We start from the raw sequence: 19,630 nt of genomic DNA, 5'->3' as shown, positions 1-19,630 counted from the left end.
TGCCTGGTTGTAAAGTCACAGGCCTCTCCGAAGGCTGTGAGAGGGGAAGCAAACGCCTGGGGCCTTAGGAAGCCAAGAGAAACCCTCAAGAGTATGGCGTCATCAGAACCGGTGAGAAATCCAGTGTCAAAGCCTCACCCTGCCTTCCAAACTCAACCTCAGATGCACAGAAGTTTTCACCTCAACTGCATATGCAGCAAGAAGGTGGCTCAGGTGGCTGAAACCCTGAAGAGGGCAGGAATGTGCAGAAGGCTGCTCAGCAACATCAAATCTGGTGACACGCCACTGAGAATGTTCGGCTCTAAACACTGAGCATCCTCTCTCTTCTGCTCTGGCCACAGACACTGTTTCCATCCTGCAGGGCCAGCAGCCAAGGGAAGAGGCCAAGTCAGAGGGAAGAGGACCCAGTATTGGCCTAGAGGCAGTGAGTTGGGGGTGGGGGGCTGTCGGCAGTTGGAGAAAAGAAACTGCATGTTGAACACTGTGCTTACTGCAAGAGATCTGTGCTCAGGGGACCACAGATGCCGTGGCGGAGCTGGCCTCAGACGCCAGAAGACCCAGGCACCTGCCGCAGAGACTCTGAGACAGGAGGGGCCGTGTATGAATCTGTTGTTCCAAGCTGGCTTTTTGAGGCTGCATTCCGGAGGCCCCCTGGCTCTGGGTGGAACTGTGGGTGGGGGAATATCCCATGCACGGAGTCAGGTTGCAGGAGCGCTTGGCATTCACAGAGCGCCCGCGGTGAGAGCTGGGGCAAATTTTCAGCACAAGAGTCCTGGCCAAGGATTGATGTAAATAGGGCATTCTTCTTCTTGTTGTTGAGAGAGCTGTTTTCACATGGAGGTGAAGCACTCAGTTGTTTAAATGAGGAGCTGGTTCATCAGTCAAAAAGCAGTTCCTCATAGGGGCACATGGGGGTGATAAAAATCAGTGACAAGGATAGTGAATTGCCTGGGAGGGTTCAAGACAAATTCGAGATAAAGGAGGGAGAGATGAAGTCAAGACAGCCTGACTGCCTTGGCTGAGCTCCGCTGCGGTGCGGACCATGGCTGGCCTATTCATGTCCAGGGCCCAGGGCCAACCTTCTGTCACCTCTGTTGTCCTATGTCAAACTTTCCGGAAACAAGGCCCAAGAAAGCAGATAATCAATAATGAGATCAGGAGATGTTATCAGAAGAAAAACAGGGCCCCCTGCTTTGTTTGTGGGAGGTTGTTTTGCCCAGGCTGCTTGTCAGTGAGTGAGTGGGGCGCGCAGAGCATGATGGAGTGGGCAGAGATGAGGCTGGGAGGGGAGTGAGGGGAGGGGAGAGGAAGGGGGGGGAGGGGAGAGGGGACAAGAGCAGGGGAAAGGAGGGGAGGGGAGGGGAGAGGAAGGGAAGAAAGGAGGGGAGGGGAGGGGGGAGAGGAAGGGAGAGGAGATGAGGGGAGCGGAGGGGAGAGGAGGGGAGGAGAAGCAAGAGAAAGCAGAGGGAAGGGTAAGGGAGGGGAGGGAGAGCAGAGGGAGAGGGGAGGGGCTGGGGAGCCAGTCACACAGAGTCAAGGGGAAAATGCAGCCCTGTGGCCCCCTCACCTTCCCCTTCCATCCCAGGGGCACCTCGAGCCACTTCTCTGAGTGGCTTCATTTCTTTGGTGTCCTTTCTCGGACAGGTTATTGAGAGTTTCAGAGGCTGTGGCAAGTCTGACTTGGGACTCTGCGGGGAAGGGACCCAGCCTCCTCAGTTTGGCCTCCCCTCCACCACATGGCAGGGGGCGAAACTGTCCCCCATATCAGGCAGACACACTTCTATGGAACAACACTTCTGCATGGTTTTGGGGACGCCCATGCCTCCTCAGAGGACTCTAGGCACACACCCTCAGTTACAGGACATCTGCTGCAGCCCTGCCTCGCTCATGGGGAGTTAGACCCCACTCCTCTGATAGGTGAGCTTCTGTAGGAAACACAGCACCTGCTCTTTGTCTATAGAACAATGGGCGCAGGCACACCTCTGCCTGATAACAAGCTCACCCACTTCCACTATATGACAGTAGGAGCACCCGTCTCCTCTGTGTGGTAACAGGTACACCTGATCATCCTCTGCAGAACAGTGCAACCCCCGCCTCTCCACTGGGACATTGGGCTTACACAGGACCCCTGCGGATAAGCACACCACATGGCCTTTGGGTCATCAAGCACGTGCCTCTGCCACGTGATGTGGGTTTCCTGCTCCTCCTCTGTACGGCAGTGGTGCACACACTTCCCATCTAGGACCCTAGGTGCACCCACACGGCGCTCACATGTGACAATGGACACTCTTCTCTGCTATGTACTTATAGGCAGGCTCAGGCCTCCTATGTACACCAGGTGCCTTATCCACGCAGCTACAGGCTTTCTCAGGAGGTGCTGACATGAGACTCTGAACTGTGGCCTCAATTCTTTCTCAAAAATATGTTAGTAAGAAGAGTGATTAAAGAACATAGATGCCACTTGTGTGTATATTTGAATAGGCTTTGCAAAACAATAAATAAAATAGTCCTGTTACTACCACCATCTTATAATTGGAACACTCTTTGTTTCCACTGAAATCATCATAGAGTGCATGGAACAATGAGTCATCAGAGATAAAGCCATTCTACCAATGCATAGTTTTTGTTAAAAACACTATCGTACCCAATTACTCATCTGTACTTTTCTCACATAGAATTTCTAACAAATAAGCTCAGTCATAAACATTTGCCGTTGACATTTTATCGCATGACCAACAGAATTAAACTGGCATTTGGGGGGGATATATTTTATTTTTCAAATTACTCTGAATTCGACCCTTGTACATTTTATTAGTAAACCAACCCAAGTACTGGGTGTTGTGATTATTTATAAAATGCACCAGGATGGTCAGAGGGCACTGGGCCGCCTTCCTTAGCTGGCAGGTGTCTCCTTTTAACCCCTCCTTCTCTGTCCGTCTTCTGCCCTGGGCTCTGTTTGGGGAGATGGCTTTCTTGCTTGTGTGACTGTGAAATGACACTTGCTTTTAACACAATACGACACGACCATGATCGTTTAAGGCTGTTTTTCCGAGGCGGCAGCTGAGGTGTTTGCGCAAGATAGTAAGGGAAACAGGAAGGGGCCAGGAGCGGGGAGCCGGGGAGCCCGCAGGACTCCTGGGTCTCCTCCCCCAGATTCCCAAACTGCCAGCCGGTCTTAGCCGTGTCTTCCAGTGAGGGGAACCCGCACAGTTCATCCCGACCCTTCAGAACGTCTCTTTCTGAGGAGTGTGTAGTTTCTCTAAGCTGAAGGCTGATTTAAAGAAGAATTTGTGCCTGGGGGAAAGGCCCCGTTGGCCTTTTAGTACAATACAATTCCGAAGGCAATCACAAAAGAAGATAGGCTTGCCGGAGTTAATGAGATTCCTCACCAAAAACACTAATCTGGGTTAAAACTAAAAGAATGCTGATAAGGATATTACAGCTCACACTGAGAACAAGAACGGTGCTCCGCTAAGATCAATTGTGCATATTAGGAGGCAGCCTTTAATAGTGTTTAAAAAAATCTGAGGAAATGGATGTTAGAGACAAAGCCTCTTAGATGAGGAGCGGCTGAAATAGAATAAAACATACCATTTTCATTTTTTTTTTAAAATAGCGTTCCAGGTACAAATCAACTAATATTAGCAGAAGTTTAACATCACTTTAAAAGAAAGCGATTGACCCACTGCGAAAGTACAGAGTGAAATGTGGAGCGATACAGTGATTATCTCTGTTTCCCCTCAGGCAAATACCTCTCTCTTAAGCATGAGCACTGCAGCATTTTGTTTTATTACCTTGTGAGATAAGTGAGGAAAAAAGCCGTCTGTACCTGGGGAATTAAAACATTCAGCTTTGTCATATCAGGGTCTGTTCTCAATTTCATGCAGGGCGCATAATTATAACAGTGTTTAAATTGAGCCCAGAAGAAAGATGGGTTCAAGTGCAAATTAATTTCAGATTATCACAACAAAGGCAATCATATCTCAACAAGCTTGCCAGCAGAACACTCAGCTAAGGTCCCCGGGTCCTTCCCCTCCCCAACTTACAACAAAGACCTTTCAGCTCAAATTAAGCTAATGATCTCAAACAGCCCTTCTGCCTACCTTTTTGGGATTTTACTATTTGCACAGTTGAATGTAGTAAAGCTGCAAAAGAGACAAAAAGCAGGAGAGGAACAGGGCTGGGGCTGGGGGAGGTGGTGGCGGAAAGGTAGCCGGGAAAGGTCAGGGCTTTCTAGCCATCAAGTGGTAAAATAAACAGGGAGCTGCGCGGCCGGGCCTGCACATCCTCAAATCGTCTTATTCAGTGGAGCCGATCAGAGCAGACGGACGCGCTGAAAGGGGCCTCGGTTTATCTGAACTCTTGCAAGCGGCCTCTGAGGCCACAGAGCCCGACTCCGCTCCTCCACCCAGCCACAGCACAGCTTTTATAGAAACCCAGCGTCTTATGCCATCCTGGGGGACCTGCTGGGGAAGGAGGGAAAGCCAGGGCTGAAAAAATTCAAGTCAAGCCTCATTACTTCCTCATTACCTTTGCAAAAGTGGAGGGAGAGAAATTTTTATCTGGGGAGCGAGGCTGGGATGTCATTGTGCTCTGCCTGGTTACTGCACAGCCGACCGTGGCATGCAGCCGCCGGGGGACTGGAGGGTTCTCCCGTTCCTCTGCAGCAATGATCCACTCGTTAGGGTTTTTAAGGCAAATTGCCATTGCTCATCACTGTGTCAGCCCGGGGGCGGGCTCACCCCACTTCCCACCCTGCAGATGGATGGGGGAGATGAAGGAAATGCATTCTAAGGTTTGCACCCTAATTCCATGTTAATTTCCTTCACCTGCTTTTATTTGGCTCTACCCGGAAGACAAATGCACTTGATGCCAACACAAATGCAGCCTCCTCACCCGGCAACACCCCTGTGGCCTGGGGTCCCTGCTTGAGGCTGAAACTCTTCTTACTCCCACTCGGGAGCTCATGGCTGGATTCAACTGAGCAAAAATTAGTTCATTAGTTCACAACAGGGCTTCAATTCTTCCATGCTGGTCTCTTTTCTCTGACTTCGTGTCTTCTGGCTGAATTGTTTTCCTCTGGCCAGCAGTTGCTTCTCAGGGTGGATGAGAGCAGGCAGCAGTCCTGTGGCCAATGACACCCCTAGGCCCAGCCCCACCTCCTCTGTGGAAAGCAGGGCTTAGGTTGAATTTAGGATGTGGCCTGATGACAGGATGGGCCTTGAGCAATGGCAGACACAAACGTTGATTCCAAAATAGGATCCTGTGATCAAAGGCCTAAGAGGCCGGGTGAACTCAGGCTGTCTTGCTCAGAGAGTATGTCTTCCCGGAGGGTGGTTCTCATCAGCAGCCCCTCTGGGGAGAGTTTGGTGACATTTTAAGCTGCAGAGCAGTGCCCTGATGGAAGCCTGATACCAGCCCTCCCCTGCCATGTCTTCTGGTTTTAAGTGTTTGTAAGAAACTATTCTTATTTTCGCGCTGTATTTTCTCAGAAGATGCTGTTTCCCCAGGTGTGTCCGCCTCTCCCTCCTGTCTCCTCTTCCCTAGCCCTATTCTTTTTTTGTTTTGTTTTGTTTTGTTTTTTGTTTTTTGTTTTTTTCAGATGGAGACTCGCTCTGTCACCCAGGCTGGAGTGCAATAGTGCAATCTTGGCGCTGCAACTTTCGCCTTTCAGGTTCAAGTGACTCTCCTGCCTCAGCCTCTCGTGTAGCTGGGATTAAAGGTGCCTGCCACCACAACCGGCTAATTTTGTATTTTTAGTGTAGATGGGGTTTCATCATGTTGGCCGGGCTGGTCTCGAACTCCTGACCTTAGGAGATCTGTCTACCTCAGCCTCCCAAAGTGCTGGATGTACAGGCGTGAGCCACTGCACCCAGCCCCCGATCCTTACTCTGAAAACTTTGTGCCCCTCTTTTATTTCCCAATGCTTGCCCTTTCCTGTCTGTCTCCTGGTTTGCTGTGTGTTCTCTGTGAAGATGGAGGCATCACATTCGAGGGACAGGAAGCAGCAGCAACACTCAGGTCCCCAGCAGTGGCCAGCAGTCGGTGACGGCCCAGTGTTGACAGGAATTTAAAGGAGAGGGAGACACAGAATTAAACACAAAGAGAGCTCCATCCAGAGGCTCCAGGGGCTGGGGGAGGGAGAATGGACTTTGTAGGGGGAGAGGAGGTGCGATGGTACAGTCAGCGTTTGTCAGGAACAAATTTCCCTAAATGGAGATAAGCTGTTCGGATTTTGCTCTGTGGCCTAGAGCACTCCACCTAGAGCCTAGTGGGTGAATGGGCTTCCTTTGCCTACCAAAGGTTTTCTAAGTTTGGTCCAACACTGAAAATCAAGAAAATCCACCTGTCAATCATTAGTTCCTCCTCTCCTTGGTACCTGCACAAGCATGGCCTGGGGGCCGGGCTGGGTTGGGAGAGGGGAGCAGGCGGGGAAGACTTAGGAAGCATGGAAATGAAAATGTGTCCTAGGAGAAAAGAAGCTAAAGAAGTGTAAATGACATTGTTAGGGATCTGGAGATGCCTGGGCTTCCGGGGGGCTGGGGGCGCATTCCTCACACTTGGGGACGACCCGCAGCTTCCTTCATCCCAGGTGGGCCACTGTCCCCATTCTACATCTGAGTGAGCAGATTCAGGCGCTCAGCCCCACGCAGCTGGAGGTGGCCTCTCACTGGAAGGCCCCTGCAGAGTCAGAGAGGAATGGGGGAACGGGGGAGGGTCACATGGACAAGGGGCTTGGGGGAGATGGGAGGTGGAGGACAGAGCCGAGGCTGGGGCCTGGGGACAAGCCACTCCTGCTGTGACATGTCCTTGGCATGTACCAGCTGGCAGTCTCCTCCCAGGTGTGTCTCCAGGCCCCTGTGCTGTGCTGGTCCTTGCAGGGGCCTCTCCCTGAGCAGTGGCCTCTGCCTTTCCGGAGATCCAGCAGAGGGGACAGGCTCTGGCTCTGCCCACGGGCCTGGTTCCGGTTCTCCCCTCCTCCACCATCCCCCGTGGCTGTCCAGGCTATGCTTCTCCACCAGGGCCCAAGGGAGAGAAAGGACGCAGGTGGCAGCAGCCCTCCCTGGCGGGTGGCTCGTGGTGTGGGATGGCTGTGGCACCAGGAGGACAGCGTATTCACTTATACTCCCTGTCTGATGAGCCTCCTGTCCAAGCCTGTGATTCCCAATGCCCGAACTTCCCGATCCATCTCCTGTTTGCGCTTGTGGTTTTCTGTGAAGACGGAGCCATCGCATTTGAGGGGCAGGAAGCAGCAGCAACACCCATGTCCCCAGCAGTGCCCAGCAGTCGGTGACGGGGCTCTTTGTGCCCCCAAGAGTGAGGTGGTCCCAGCCTGGCCTCCACCGGCAGGAACTGGAATGGACCAGAGCCACCATGTGTGGGAGGTGGGGGTCTCTAGCCTGGATTCTCTCCAGCATGTGTGGGAGGAAGGTGGGAGACTGGGGTCTGTGCCTGGCTTCAGGGCCGATGGAGGGGTGGTGCTGCCGTGGGGCTGGCCCTGGAGGCTTGAGTGGGGCAGGTGTCTCCTGATGAGATCTTGGGGGTGGCAGCGGCCATGTAGAACCCCAAAGCCTGGTCCCGGCACCCCTTCTTTTTAACCTCATTTAGAGGGAGTCTGTTGTCTGGGACAAGACTCCAGACTTGCTCTCCTCCCCAGACAGCAGAGCACCTAACTCTACAGGTGGTTCCTTAGGTGAGAGGGCACGCACCTGGCTGCCCAGGCACACTCGTTGTTCCCCCTGGCCCTCAAGTGTGAGCTGGGGCTGAGGAGGGGACATGAAAGCAGGCTGCATTCACTTTGAACGTGAACCTTCTGAAATGAGCAGGGAGACAGGCAGTTCTGAGCTGACGGGGGTGCAGAGCATCCCCCGGGCAGGATGGGCTTGGCTCATCCTCCAGGGCTGTGTTGAAACAGGGCCATGCACAGTTTTATTGATGTGTTGAATTCTTTTCAGAAATAGTTTCAGCATTGCTGTGGTCTGAACGTCTGTGTTCCCCAAAATTCCAGTGTCAAAACCCTCACCCTCAAGGGGATGCAATTAGGAGCTGGGGCCTTTGGGAGGTGATTTGGTCATGGGGGTGGAGCCATCATAAATGGGGTGAGTGCCCTTAAAAGAGGGACCCCAAGTAGTCCCCTTGCCCTCTCCACCCCGTGGGGACACAGCGAGAAGGCACCTTCCACGAACCTGGACAGGAGGTGTTGCCAGACGCCATATCTGCAGATGCCTCAATCCTGGACTTCCAGCCTCCGGAACCACGGGAAGTGAATTTCTGGAGGGCGTAATTTAGACGGTGAAACACCCGCGTTTCGGAGCACGTCATGTCTTCACAGCAGCTGTGTGCATGTTAAGCTAACATGAGCCACCTTCCAAGAGTTCTGGGCGGTGCTTTCGGTAGAGTCTGGAGGGGCTCATCCTCGACAGCGTCAGGACGGGGTGGGTGCTGATGGCTTCTATCTATCTGTCTTCTACCTGTCTGTCTATCCAACTGTGTAGTATCGATCTTTCTATCTATCTATCTGTGGAGAGCTATGGAGACACAGAAAGACACAAAGAGAAGAAAAGAGACAGAGAAAGTGAGAAAGAAAAGAGACAGAAAGACAGAGAGAAGAAAAGAGACAGAGAAAGCAAGAAAGAAAAGAGACAGAGAAAGAGGGAGGAAAAAAGACAGAAAGAAAGAAAAGAGACAGAGAGAAGAAAAGAGTCAGAGAAAGCAAGAAAGAAAAGAGACAGAGAAAAGAGAGAGGAAAAGAGACAGAGAAAGAAAGAAAAGAGACAGAGAAAGACACAGAGAGAAGAAAAGAGACAGAGAAAGTGAGAAAAAGAAGAGGGAGGGAAGGGGAGGAAGAGACAGAGAGTTTTGCTAGGCAAGCTTAACTCTTTGAAGACGTTAATGTACCGAATGCGATGCTCCACCTCCTCTCACCACATCACTCACATCACCAAGCTTCAGGTTTGTAAAACATAGCTCATTTTCAGCACTGGGAAAATATAGAAGTTTCTAGTTTCAAGGCTTGATTTTAAATATATTTTGTCTTTCTCCCTTTTTGGTGATCATTGGTGAAATCCTAATTACATCTTGCCTTTAACCACCCACAGAGACCTTCACGGTCACCTTTCTTCAGACTTAAAGAGCAGGGCCTTTCTCTTCCTTTCACTGGAGCGGGTGAGTGTTCTCCGAGTCAGATGTTCACTTTTTGGCACCATAAACAAGCAGGTTCTGTCTGCTGAGGGATCAGGGTATGTGAACCTGATGCTCCGGCTTTACAGTGATGACCACAAAATGCCTTTAGAAAGAAGATTGCAATCCATTTTAATCTGGGAAGACATTTCTTTTCTTTCTTTTTTTTTTTTTTTTGAGACAGAGTCTTGCTCTGTCACCCAGGCTGGAGTGCAGTGGCTCAATCTCGGCTCACTGCAAGCTCCCCCTCCCAGGTTCACACTGTCATCCTGCTTCAGCCTCCCAAGTAGCTGGGACTACAGGCGCCCGTCACCACACCCAGCTAATTTTTTTGTATTTTTAGTAGAGACGGGGTTTCACTGTGGTCTCCGTCTCCTGACCTCGTGATCCGCCCGCCTCGGCCCCCCAGAGTGCTGCGATTACAGGCGTGATCCACTGCGCCCAGCCTAATCTGGGAAAACATTTCAACTTTGAAACCAAAATCCACGGTAGATATTTCTGTTGTTTCCCAGAGTGCGAAGCAGTGCTCATCGATAATGCTAATCGCGTGTTCCACCCCAAGGACACCTTTGGAATTCCGCATCTGTGGCTATTAGAATCAATCATGACAAAACTTACACATTTTAACTTTGTGTGTTTTATCTAATCATTTTTATTAGATTTGCTATAAGATATATGACTATGTCGTGCAGTTATTTTGATTAATTGTTAATATAATACAAAGATTAATAATAATTGTCTACTAGATATCTACATAGCAATTAACCAGTACTTTGCTTGTATGTGTTTTACAATGTTCATTTAGTTTATTGAACATGTTTATTCTGGGTTTTTAGAAATGAATGTTTGAACACACGCCTCTTCATATGCTATTAGAGTTGATTTGCCGAGAGAGACGGTCAGCTGTGCATAAATCCAACAGAACCCATGCTGTATCTAAGAAATCTTAGTTTGTTTAAACTGAAAACTAAAGCAGCCCTGGAGCCCTCACCTGTGAGGTATGGAAGGCATAAAGAAGTTGGCAACATGTAATATATTAATGTTTATGCTTCAGAAATATTTACATGAGATTGAAAGAAATTCCAGACAAGTCACATCAGGATATGTGAACACATTTGAAAGACACACATAAATATTGCCAGCATTAAAATGAGTAATTCCAGAGAAAACAAATTAAGATGGCCAATGATAATGGTCTCGTTTGACAAACGTATATGACACTTTCCTTTATGGTTTATCGCATTTTACCTTGCAGTAAGAAAATGGTGTCTATTTTCTTGGGGCTAGAAGAGGAGGGGTCCCGGGCCCTGCATGGTGTGAGGCCTCTTGTCCAGAGTTGCAGTGAAGTCACTGCTAGTGGCCATGCAGGCTGCTTTGGGGGAATTATATGCCCACAGTGAAGGACAAAGGGATGCAAGAAGAAAATGGGAACCCCAAGGAAGGTGCTCAACCTAGAGGCCAAGGAGAGGGAGAAAGCAAGCGGGGAAGTGAACTCCAGAAACCATGGTCATGGGCAATAGCATGGCGGCTAGAGCCCTGGAGATCAGGGTTGAGCCTAAGAGGGGCACCATGGAGCCCAGGAGTACACAGACATCGGGAGAGGCCAAGGCATGTGGTTCTCCCATCTACAAAGCATTCATCAGAAGGCAAACACGGTCATTACAGTTGCTGCTATCGTAAAAATCATTACAAATAAAAGCAAAACACGTTTCTGTTATTAAACAAAAAATTCAGCTCTCTCAGGTTTCTGACAAATGTCTCCACATATGTTAATACTTGCATATAAAATAAGTGTCTTTGTCTTTTGAAGGTTCAGAAACATGATGCTTTAATTTAACGTATTCTCCAAATAAACATACTTGAATATTAGTCCAAGACTTTTTTTTTAAAAGAATGCAATAGAATGCTGCAACTCACAACTTCTTAGAGCTAAGTTTCACACTGAGCCAGTGGGAGTTGGCAGTGATGGAGAATTAACACAGGGAGAGCCTGTCTTGGTGCCTGGTGGGTGGAGGAACAGGGCTTTCACAGGGGCGGAGATGGGAGTGCAGGGCTGAGAGCAAACCCTTCCTTTAGCCATTTTGTTTTTGTGCAGGAGCCCCGAGCTGCTTAATCAAATCCATCTCCTCTCAGGACTTCGCTGTTGTGAACAGGATCAGGGGTCCAGTGGGGCCGACCTCCGCCCTCGGGGCAGTGAGAAGGGGGTCACCCTGGAGACTCCCTATCCCATGCATTTGAGGGGTAGGCGCAAAACAGAGACTTCTTTTTTAAAAAATTTGTACTTTTATTTCAGGAGTTTTGGGGGCACAGGTGGTTTTTCGTTGCATAGATATGTTCTGCTTTTTTTTTTTTTTTTTTTACACAGTCTTGCTCTGTCACCCAGGCTGGAGTGCAGTGGTACAATCTCAGCTCACTGCAACCTCTGCCTCCAGGGTTCGAGCGACCCTCCTGTCTCAGCCTCCCGAATAGCTGGGATTACAGGCACGCACCACCACGCCCAGCTCATTTTTGTATTTTTAGTAGAGACGGGTTTTCACCATGTTGGTCAGGCTGGTCTTGAACTCCTGACCTCGTGATCTGCCTGCCTCAGGCTCCCAAAGTGCTGGGATTACGGGTGTGAGCCACTGCCCCTGGACAAGAATCCTACATTCTTACCACTCCAAGTACAAGATAGGTGTGAGCACCTGACTCTCAGAACATCAACCCGTGCCTTCATCATGTTAATAAATTAGTTAGCGCCAAAGAGGAGGACGATGGATATTTACATCTTTATATCAATCATGTGACCTTTTCAGAATCAGTTTTCTCAGCAAGAATCCATCCCAAAGACCCAGCATGTGCATTGCGATGCCAAATCTGAGCTTGTTTTCTTTGGAAAACAAGTTTCACTAAGTCTGTCAGAGACTCCCCATGCAGAGGTCCCTCGTTACTCCTGCCACGCCTGAGCCTCTGGGGCCTAGGATCCAGCCATGAGCATGGCTGACTTTGGGGAGAGTTGTTAATGCAGCCATCATTGCCAGTTTGTGGCAACCAGTTGAATACTGGGCCTGTAACTTAAAACGCTTCATACCTGAGTTTTACCACTTTTATGTAATTGGCAGTTCTCAATAATTTGAATGTATTAAGTATTCAATAAAGGAGAAATAAATGAAAATGAGACATTATGCATTTTAAGATTGGAAACTGGTAATCCAAGATTTACTTTATGAGAAACAAAATGTTTATGGAAGTGACAGTCACCTTGGGCCTCCGATGAGCCCAAGGAGAATCCCCATACTGCGGGTCATTATCTTAGGGATTTTCTTCTGTTCATGGAATGTTTGGCACACCTGAAAGCAACAGTTTCTGTGAAAATTTTTTTGACTTGTGTGAATTCCTTGGGGGCATCAAATTTGAGTGAAATAATACACCAGGTCCAGTCTACAAGACAGTGCTCTGTTGCTCTGATGACGCTGAAGTCGGCACCCAAGCTGCATGCAACGGGATGGAGAAGGACCTCCTGAGAACGCTGGCATTTGCTGCCCTGCGGCCACTGCCCTTGGCACCCAAAGACACTGAGAGCCAGGCTGGTGGGAGACACATAGACAGAACCTCTCCCAGAGCTACCAGTGAGAGGTCTCAAGAGCCTTATGACGCGAATACACCTAAGCTTAACACCCCGAGTACAAGACTAAAATCCCAGACTGTAGCACTAAGTCGAGGAAAATTTTATACACAAAGATGGCCCCTGAAATGTTCCACGGGATTATCAGGATTTTAAATGTCAAATCACTAAAGGATGCTCTTCTATGTTCTGGCCAAGTTACCTGAATGAACATTTGGCAAGCAACAAAAACGTTTCAATATGTTGGAAAATGCTTGTGTGATATAACCTTAAAAGCAAGGCATGAAGATACAAATGCAATAGTATACCACCCATGTAAAACATTATGTAAGCATGGAACTATTATGTAAAAAAGAAAAGTGATTAAACTATTAGTGCTTATTTCTAAGTGCGGCGTTATGAAGTATGTTTTTTACCTTATAATTCTTTTTTTTTTCCAAATGACAATGAGAATGATAGGAAGACATACAGGTGAGTGCAGCCTCAGAAACAGGTGCAGACGGTTATGAGCTGAATCACGTCTCCCCTCCCCCGATTTCCCGCGTCAAAGTCCTAATCCCCACTACCTCAGAATATGACCTTACCTGGAAATAGAGTCACTGCAAAAGAATTAGTTAAGATGAGGTCATATGGGAGTAATCCAACATGACCAGTGTCCTTATCACAAGGGGACATTTGGACATGGAGAGGGACGCATACAGTGGGAGGGCTGTGTGCACACATGGGCAGAGATGGGCCGATGGCCAGCAAAGGCTGGAGGCTGGGACAGGGGCACAGAGCAGAGCCTCCCTCACAGCCCTCAGGCTTCAGGCTCTAAAACAGGAGAGAATGCATTTCTGTTGCTTAGGTCACCCAGTGGGGGATACTTTGTTAGGGCAGCTCTGGGAAAGGAATATACAAGTAGATACAGATGTAGATATGGAAATAGATCAGATGGAGATATATGAATCCATAGCAATTCAGAATTACAGATGTGGAAATTTATATAGATACAGATCTGATACAGATATGCATGAAGTGGTTATAGATGTATGTTTTTGTATAGAGTACCATCCGATATAGATACATAAATCAATAGAATATTAATACAGACACAGATGGTTATGGACATAGATGTAGGTACGTGTGGATATACATGGGGTATACTCTTTTTTTTTTTTTGAGATGGAGCCTCACTCTGTCGCCCAAGTAGTAGTACAATGGCATGATCTCGGCTCACTGCAACCTCCATCTCTCGGGTTCAAGAGATTCTCCTGCCTCAGCCTCCCGAGTAGCTGGGATTACAGGCACCTGCCACCACACCCGGCTAATTTTTGTATTTTTAGTAGAGACGGGGTTTTGCCATGTTGGCCAGGGTGGTCTCAAACTCCTGACTTCAGGTGATTCTTCCGCCTCGACCTCCCAAAGTGCTGGGATTACAGGCATGAGCCACCGTGCCCAGCTGGGGTATGATCTTAAATAGTACGTACAATAGAGACAGGGAGCAGAAAAGACCGTGGTGGAACAAGAGTCCCTAAAAACCATCTTTGCGCTACACAGAGATGTGTCGGCCTCCGTGGGATTCCTTGTGCTGCTTCTCTCCACCCCCTGGCATTTCTTGTTTTGAGTGATGCCGTCCGAATTCCTTGTGAGCTAGCAAGTGATTTATGTATAGATCATGACATTCACCTAGGTGACAGATGGCCTCACATAAGGATCTAGTCTCCTGAGCCGCGGGGCAGGACGCCCAGCCTTTTCCAGCAAGTTTTCCCCCAATGGTAGAAACACCTATTTTTCCTTTTTTTCCCGGTTCTTTTGAACTTACACGATAAAATCACCCCTTCTGACGTTTTATGTTTTAATTAGTGTCATTTCATTTATACTTATACCCTTAAGCTGTTTTAGCAACAAACTATAATTTTACAAATTGGGGCAAAAGTCCTCATTCACCGTATGTATTTAAAACAGAGTATTTTATTTCAATAGAATGATTTAATCTTTAAGGGTATAAAGTCCCCCTGATATATTAGTCATCAACATTGGCCTCTGCAATGACTATCAGACTCCCCGAAGCTACGTGAAACTTCGTCTTTTTAGGAAGTTTGCATGGCCTGGCCAGCTCCTACCAGATGGAAACTTGGTTCCTTCCCACTCTGGGCCATCGTAATTACCTCTTCCTGCTCTGAAGGCAAACCCGCCCCTACACGTAGCGAACTGCCAGGGGAGGCTGCTGTACACCACCAGCAAACAGCACTTCCTCACTTCACACTCTGCCCACGCTGGCGTCTTCCAGATAACCTGAGTGTGATGTTGTGAGCACTGATAACCCCAGGACACCGTGAGCCTTCCCAAAATAGGAGCAGACTCCGGGGCCCTCAATCATAGCATCACTTAGGCAAAATCCGCTGCAAAAGTGGGTAATCTCTCTAACCACCTCACTCGTCAGAGATTGTTGAGAACGCTGAACCCGCAAGCCCCAGAAATCCCATCAGCCAACACCGTCTAAGAAACAATCGTCAGTTACTGGTAACAGGAAACGGAGGGACTCTGAGGTTTGAGCTTAGCGAAGCAAGCCCTGGAATGCTGTTTGCAATTTTTGGGTTTGGGAAATCTGCTGGCACCTCTGTTCTGTCCACGGGAAGCCTGCTCTGGGGCTGGAGGGCTGGTCCACCTGGCTTTCCTCATAGGCCTGGTTCTGAACGTTTCCTTAGAGACACATGACCTGCTGGGGAGGCCGTGGGTGGCTTATTGGACCAAAGACAGGCAGTGTTTGAGGACACCAAAGCCAACCTTGGCCACGCCTGCTTTTTGGAAGGTGGATCCTCCCTCAAAACTCCTGCACATTGTGGAGCCTGTTGCTGAGGCCTCCACACAGCATGTCTGCAGGGCAAAGAGAAGCGATTTTCACGAGGCTCACAGAGGGCCATGCAGACTCCATCATCTGACCTCACCCAACACTGTCCGCTTCCCAGTGTGGGAGCCATTGAGTCTCCTCGTCTCTGGTGAGCAAGCACACGGTGCTGAAAGCGTATTGTTAAGAATTAGCGGCACAATCCTTTTATACCAAATGCTGTTTTGAAAACCCATTAGGGGGCTGGGCAAGGTGGCTCACACCTGTAATCCCAGCACTCTGGGAGGCGGAATTGGGTGCATCACCTGAGGTCAGGAGTTTGAGACCAGCCTGGCCAACATGGTGAAATCCCATCTCTAGGAAAAATACAAAAATTAGCCAGGCAGGATGGCAGGTGCCTGTAACCCCAGCTACTCGGGAAGCTGAGGCAGGAGAATGGCTTGAACCAGGGAGGTGGAGGTTGCGGTGAGCCGAGATCATGCCATTCTACTCCAGCCTGGGTGACAGAGCAAGACTGTCTCAAAAATAAATACATAGATAGATAAATAAATAAACAAAATTAAATTAAATAAATAAAAGCCATTGAGGGAGCCCCTTCAGCCATCTTCTTTCTTTCCAAACTTCCAAATGGAACTCAGACAAACTCAGGTTGTCATCCCGTTAAAGAGTCTCCTTTGTAGACTGGGGTGTCAAGGACAGTGACAGTTCTCACAGTAGGAACCACTTAGACCACATCAAAAAACACTTCAGCACATTTTCCCCCTCACGTGTTCTGTGAATGGAATGTTGCTTTCGACTTATGAGAACAGGAACCTTTTGTTTCCCTCTTTTAGCACACGTCAGTTTTTTTTCTCTTGTCTTTCAGTCCTTTTGAGATCAGACTCTTGTTTCCATTTATAATAAAGTAAATTGGAAAAATTAACCTCCAGACTTAGGGGGAATTTTTAGCTTTGAAAGATCTGCTGTATAATTGCCATAAAATAAAAAGTGTCCGTGATCTTTTCCATGGAGGAAGGGAGGGAGAAAGACGTCGGCGTGGTGGGCAGCATGCTGCTATCTCAGTGCCTCTGACGGTGATAGTGTGACGAAGGTTTTTCAGAGTGGTTCCTTCCTCCTAATGAGAACACATGGACACAGGAAGGGGAACATCACACTCTGGGGCCTGTTGTGGGGTGGCAGGAAGGGGAGGGATAGCATTAGGAGATATACCTAATGCTAAATGACGAGTTAGTGGGTGCAGCACACCAACATGGCACATGTATACATATGTAACAAACCTGCACATTGTGCACATGTACCCTAAAACTTAAAGTATAATAAAAAAAAAGAATGACCTTTTTGAATAAAGCTATGTGGATAGAGAGCTGTTTCTGAGGGACAATAATTAATGAGCTTTCAGAGGTGAAGATAAGAAAATCCAGTTTGTGGCTATCTGGCAGTCCCAGGAAGGAGAAGAGAGACAGGTTTGGCTTTGAGGGAGTCGCTAGGGCCCTGTGTTCCCCTAGGTGCACTATTCCAGACTCTTCTAGAAAGTGAAAAGCCAGCTGCATCTAAGCAACTCTGTCTTCCACTAAAACAACCAGATCCCTTGATTTCTCTTACAGGATGTAGGGGAAGGGACAGGGTAGAGGGAGAGGTTCCTGCTGGAACACACCGAAGGTGGCTGATCCGGATTTGATCCCAGGGAGGATGAGGGAATCATGAAGACTAAGAACATGTTGGCATGTGAGAGATCTTCCCAGACAACACCGGAAGCCCGGAGGTTCCTAATAAGAAGCTGAACACCGGAAGCCTGGAGGTTCAGAATGAGAAGCTGAACATAAGAAACCACAAGAAAGGCCTTAAAAGTTTTTCCTGGGGAACATCACACACCAGGGTCTGTTGTGGGGTGGGAGGAGTGGGGAGGGATAGCATTAGGAGATATACCTAATGTAAATGACGAGTTAATGGGTGCAGCACACCAACATGGCACATACATACATATGTAACAAACCTGCACATTGTGCACATGTACCCTAGAACTTAAAGTATAATAATAATTAATAATAAGTTTTTGCCTAGGAAAAGACATAAGACACATTCAGCAGCAGTTTCAGTCAAAATGAGCCAAGTCATGGCACAGTAACACGTAGCACCCAGATCTCAGTTGTCGTAAGCGGCAAAGGTTTTTTTCGCTCAGGGCACGTGTCCATCTCGAGTGACTGGAGGTGTCCCAACTTAGAAGGTCACTGGCCACTTTAGCAGAGAGCACACATCACAAGCCATTCCTTGGTCCTATGGCTTACTCGGTTACATGGCTCCTGAAAAGGCTTGTTGAAGTGACGCTGGTGAGTTGCTCAAATTTCGCTGGCCAAGCCACTCACCCCATGACTGGCTTAGAAAGGAGAGGAGAGTACAATCCTACCATGAGCTCAAGAGGAGGAGAACCAGAAATATTTACAAATAGCACTACTGACCACATACTCCGCCCTTCTGGTCACCAGATATTTGGCTGATTTTTTCTTCCACACAAAATACTCTCAGTGTCTTCTCAAATCTAGTCATGACATCAAACCAAAAGTTAAGGATTGCTATGGAGAAGTGTAGCCTCCACCTCAAATCATGAGCTGTAGGATTTAAGGAGAAAGCTACAGTAACTCCCACCCCAACACCTTATATCAATCTCTCCCAACGCCTAACAGACTCAGGATACAATGGTGACACAGGAAGAGGATAATGGCAACAAACACTCTTACCTGGAAAGGAAAAGAACGTGACACAAACAGTTCATATTTTGAACTCTTTTTTGTTATGATATTTTGAAATCTTTTTTGTTATGATATTTTGAAATCTTTTTTTTTGAGATGGAGTCTTGCTCTGTCACCAGGCTGGAGTGCAATGGCGTGATCTCGGCTCACGGCAACCTCCACCTCCCAGGTTGAAGGGATTCTCCTGCCTCAGCCTCCTGAGTAGCTGGGATTACAGGTGCACGCCACCACATCTGGCTAATTTTTGTATTTTTAGTAGAGATGAGGTTTCACCATGTTGGTCAGGCTGGTCTTGAATTCCTGACCTCAGGTGATCCACCTGCCTCAGCCTCCCAAGTGCTGGGATTACAGGCGTGAGCTACCGTGCCTGGCCTGAAATCTTTTCCAGACTAATATTTTGAGAGCTTCCTATCCTGGGAGTATATAATTTATTTTTCTTGATTAGCCCCTAATTCTATTCCTTGGTAGTGATTTTATATGCATTTTTTTCTGTAAATATTGGCTTCATTTCTTAGAATATTATGTCTTCTTCATTTTCATCCTTGACCACATTAAGATCTTGATTTTCTTAGAAGCTGAGCATCTTCTAATCCCACTTCTTGCTTGTAAACATTTAAGGATGAAGGGTTATCTGAAATCTCAGTCCAGCCTGGTGGTTCTTTAGACAGCATAAGCATCTCGGCACTTTGGTTAGTTTCTCATCTGTCTGTCTTACATTCTGGTCAGTTCCATGTGCCAAGATCAACACTCATGGCTCCTATCCAGAGGTACATTTTACATTTGTTCTCTCTCCTCCATGCTTCATCTCTAAGGACATTTTGGGTGCCTAGTGCTTATCACCCTTGGTGACAGGTCCACGCATTTAGCCTCCTCTCCACTTCTGCTGCTTTTTCAAAGTAAGCATATTTGCCAACCACTATACTCTCTATTGTTTCTCTACTCTCTATTGTTTCTCTACTCTGAAATCCCCTCATTCAGAACTTTCCAGAAAGTGTGTAATGACCATGTTCTTAATGTAATCTTTGCTACAAAGCTATGTTCCAGTTCCCCTTTGTTGCTTCAAGACTTTCTTAATTTTATCTCCAGCATTTGAGGGTAAGAGGTAATTACCTCTTTCAACACTAAAAGTTCTCAAAATTGTACATTCTTTTTCTTTTCTTTTTTTTTTTTTTTGACACGGAATCTCACTCTGTCACCCAGGCTAGAGTGCAGTGGTGCAATCTTGGCTTACTGCAACCTTCACCTCCTAGGTTCAAGCAATTCTCCTGT

The 19,630-nt window shown here is 47.9% G+C and overlaps 4 annotated features.

The window, feature by feature from the left end:
* Positions 4,078-4,952: an enhancer, noted in NCBI's record as "NANOG-H3K27ac-H3K4me1 hESC enhancer chr5:3103093-3103967 (GRCh37/hg19 assembly coordinates)". NCBI's record gives its function as "activates a minimal SCP1, AML or CMV promoter by ChIP-STARR-seq in naive H9 embryonic stem cells {active_cell/tissue: H9 hESC(naive)}" and the evidence as "EXISTENCE:reporter gene assay evidence [ECO:0000049][PMID:30033119]".
* Positions 5,827-6,700: an enhancer, noted in NCBI's record as "NANOG-H3K27ac-H3K4me1 hESC enhancer chr5:3101345-3102218 (GRCh37/hg19 assembly coordinates)". NCBI's record gives its function as "activates a minimal SCP1, AML or CMV promoter by ChIP-STARR-seq in naive and primed H9 embryonic stem cells {active_cell/tissue: H9 hESC(naive and primed)}" and the evidence as "EXISTENCE:reporter gene assay evidence [ECO:0000049][PMID:30033119]".
* Positions 6,701-7,574: an enhancer, noted in NCBI's record as "NANOG-H3K27ac-H3K4me1 hESC enhancer chr5:3100471-3101344 (GRCh37/hg19 assembly coordinates)". NCBI's record gives its function as "activates a minimal SCP1, AML or CMV promoter by ChIP-STARR-seq in naive H9 embryonic stem cells {active_cell/tissue: H9 hESC(naive)}" and the evidence as "EXISTENCE:reporter gene assay evidence [ECO:0000049][PMID:30033119]".
* Positions 7,575-8,449: an enhancer, noted in NCBI's record as "H3K27ac-H3K4me1 hESC enhancer chr5:3099596-3100470 (GRCh37/hg19 assembly coordinates)". NCBI's record gives its function as "activates a minimal SCP1, AML or CMV promoter by ChIP-STARR-seq in naive H9 embryonic stem cells {active_cell/tissue: H9 hESC(naive)}" and the evidence as "EXISTENCE:reporter gene assay evidence [ECO:0000049][PMID:30033119]".

This window comes from Homo sapiens, chromosome 5 (assembly GCF_000001405.40).
Source record: "Homo sapiens chromosome 5, GRCh38.p14 Primary Assembly".
Classification (NCBI taxonomy): Eukaryota; Metazoa; Chordata; class Mammalia; order Primates; family Hominidae; genus Homo; species Homo sapiens.
This window is presented reverse-complemented; position numbering and strand designations above follow the sequence as displayed.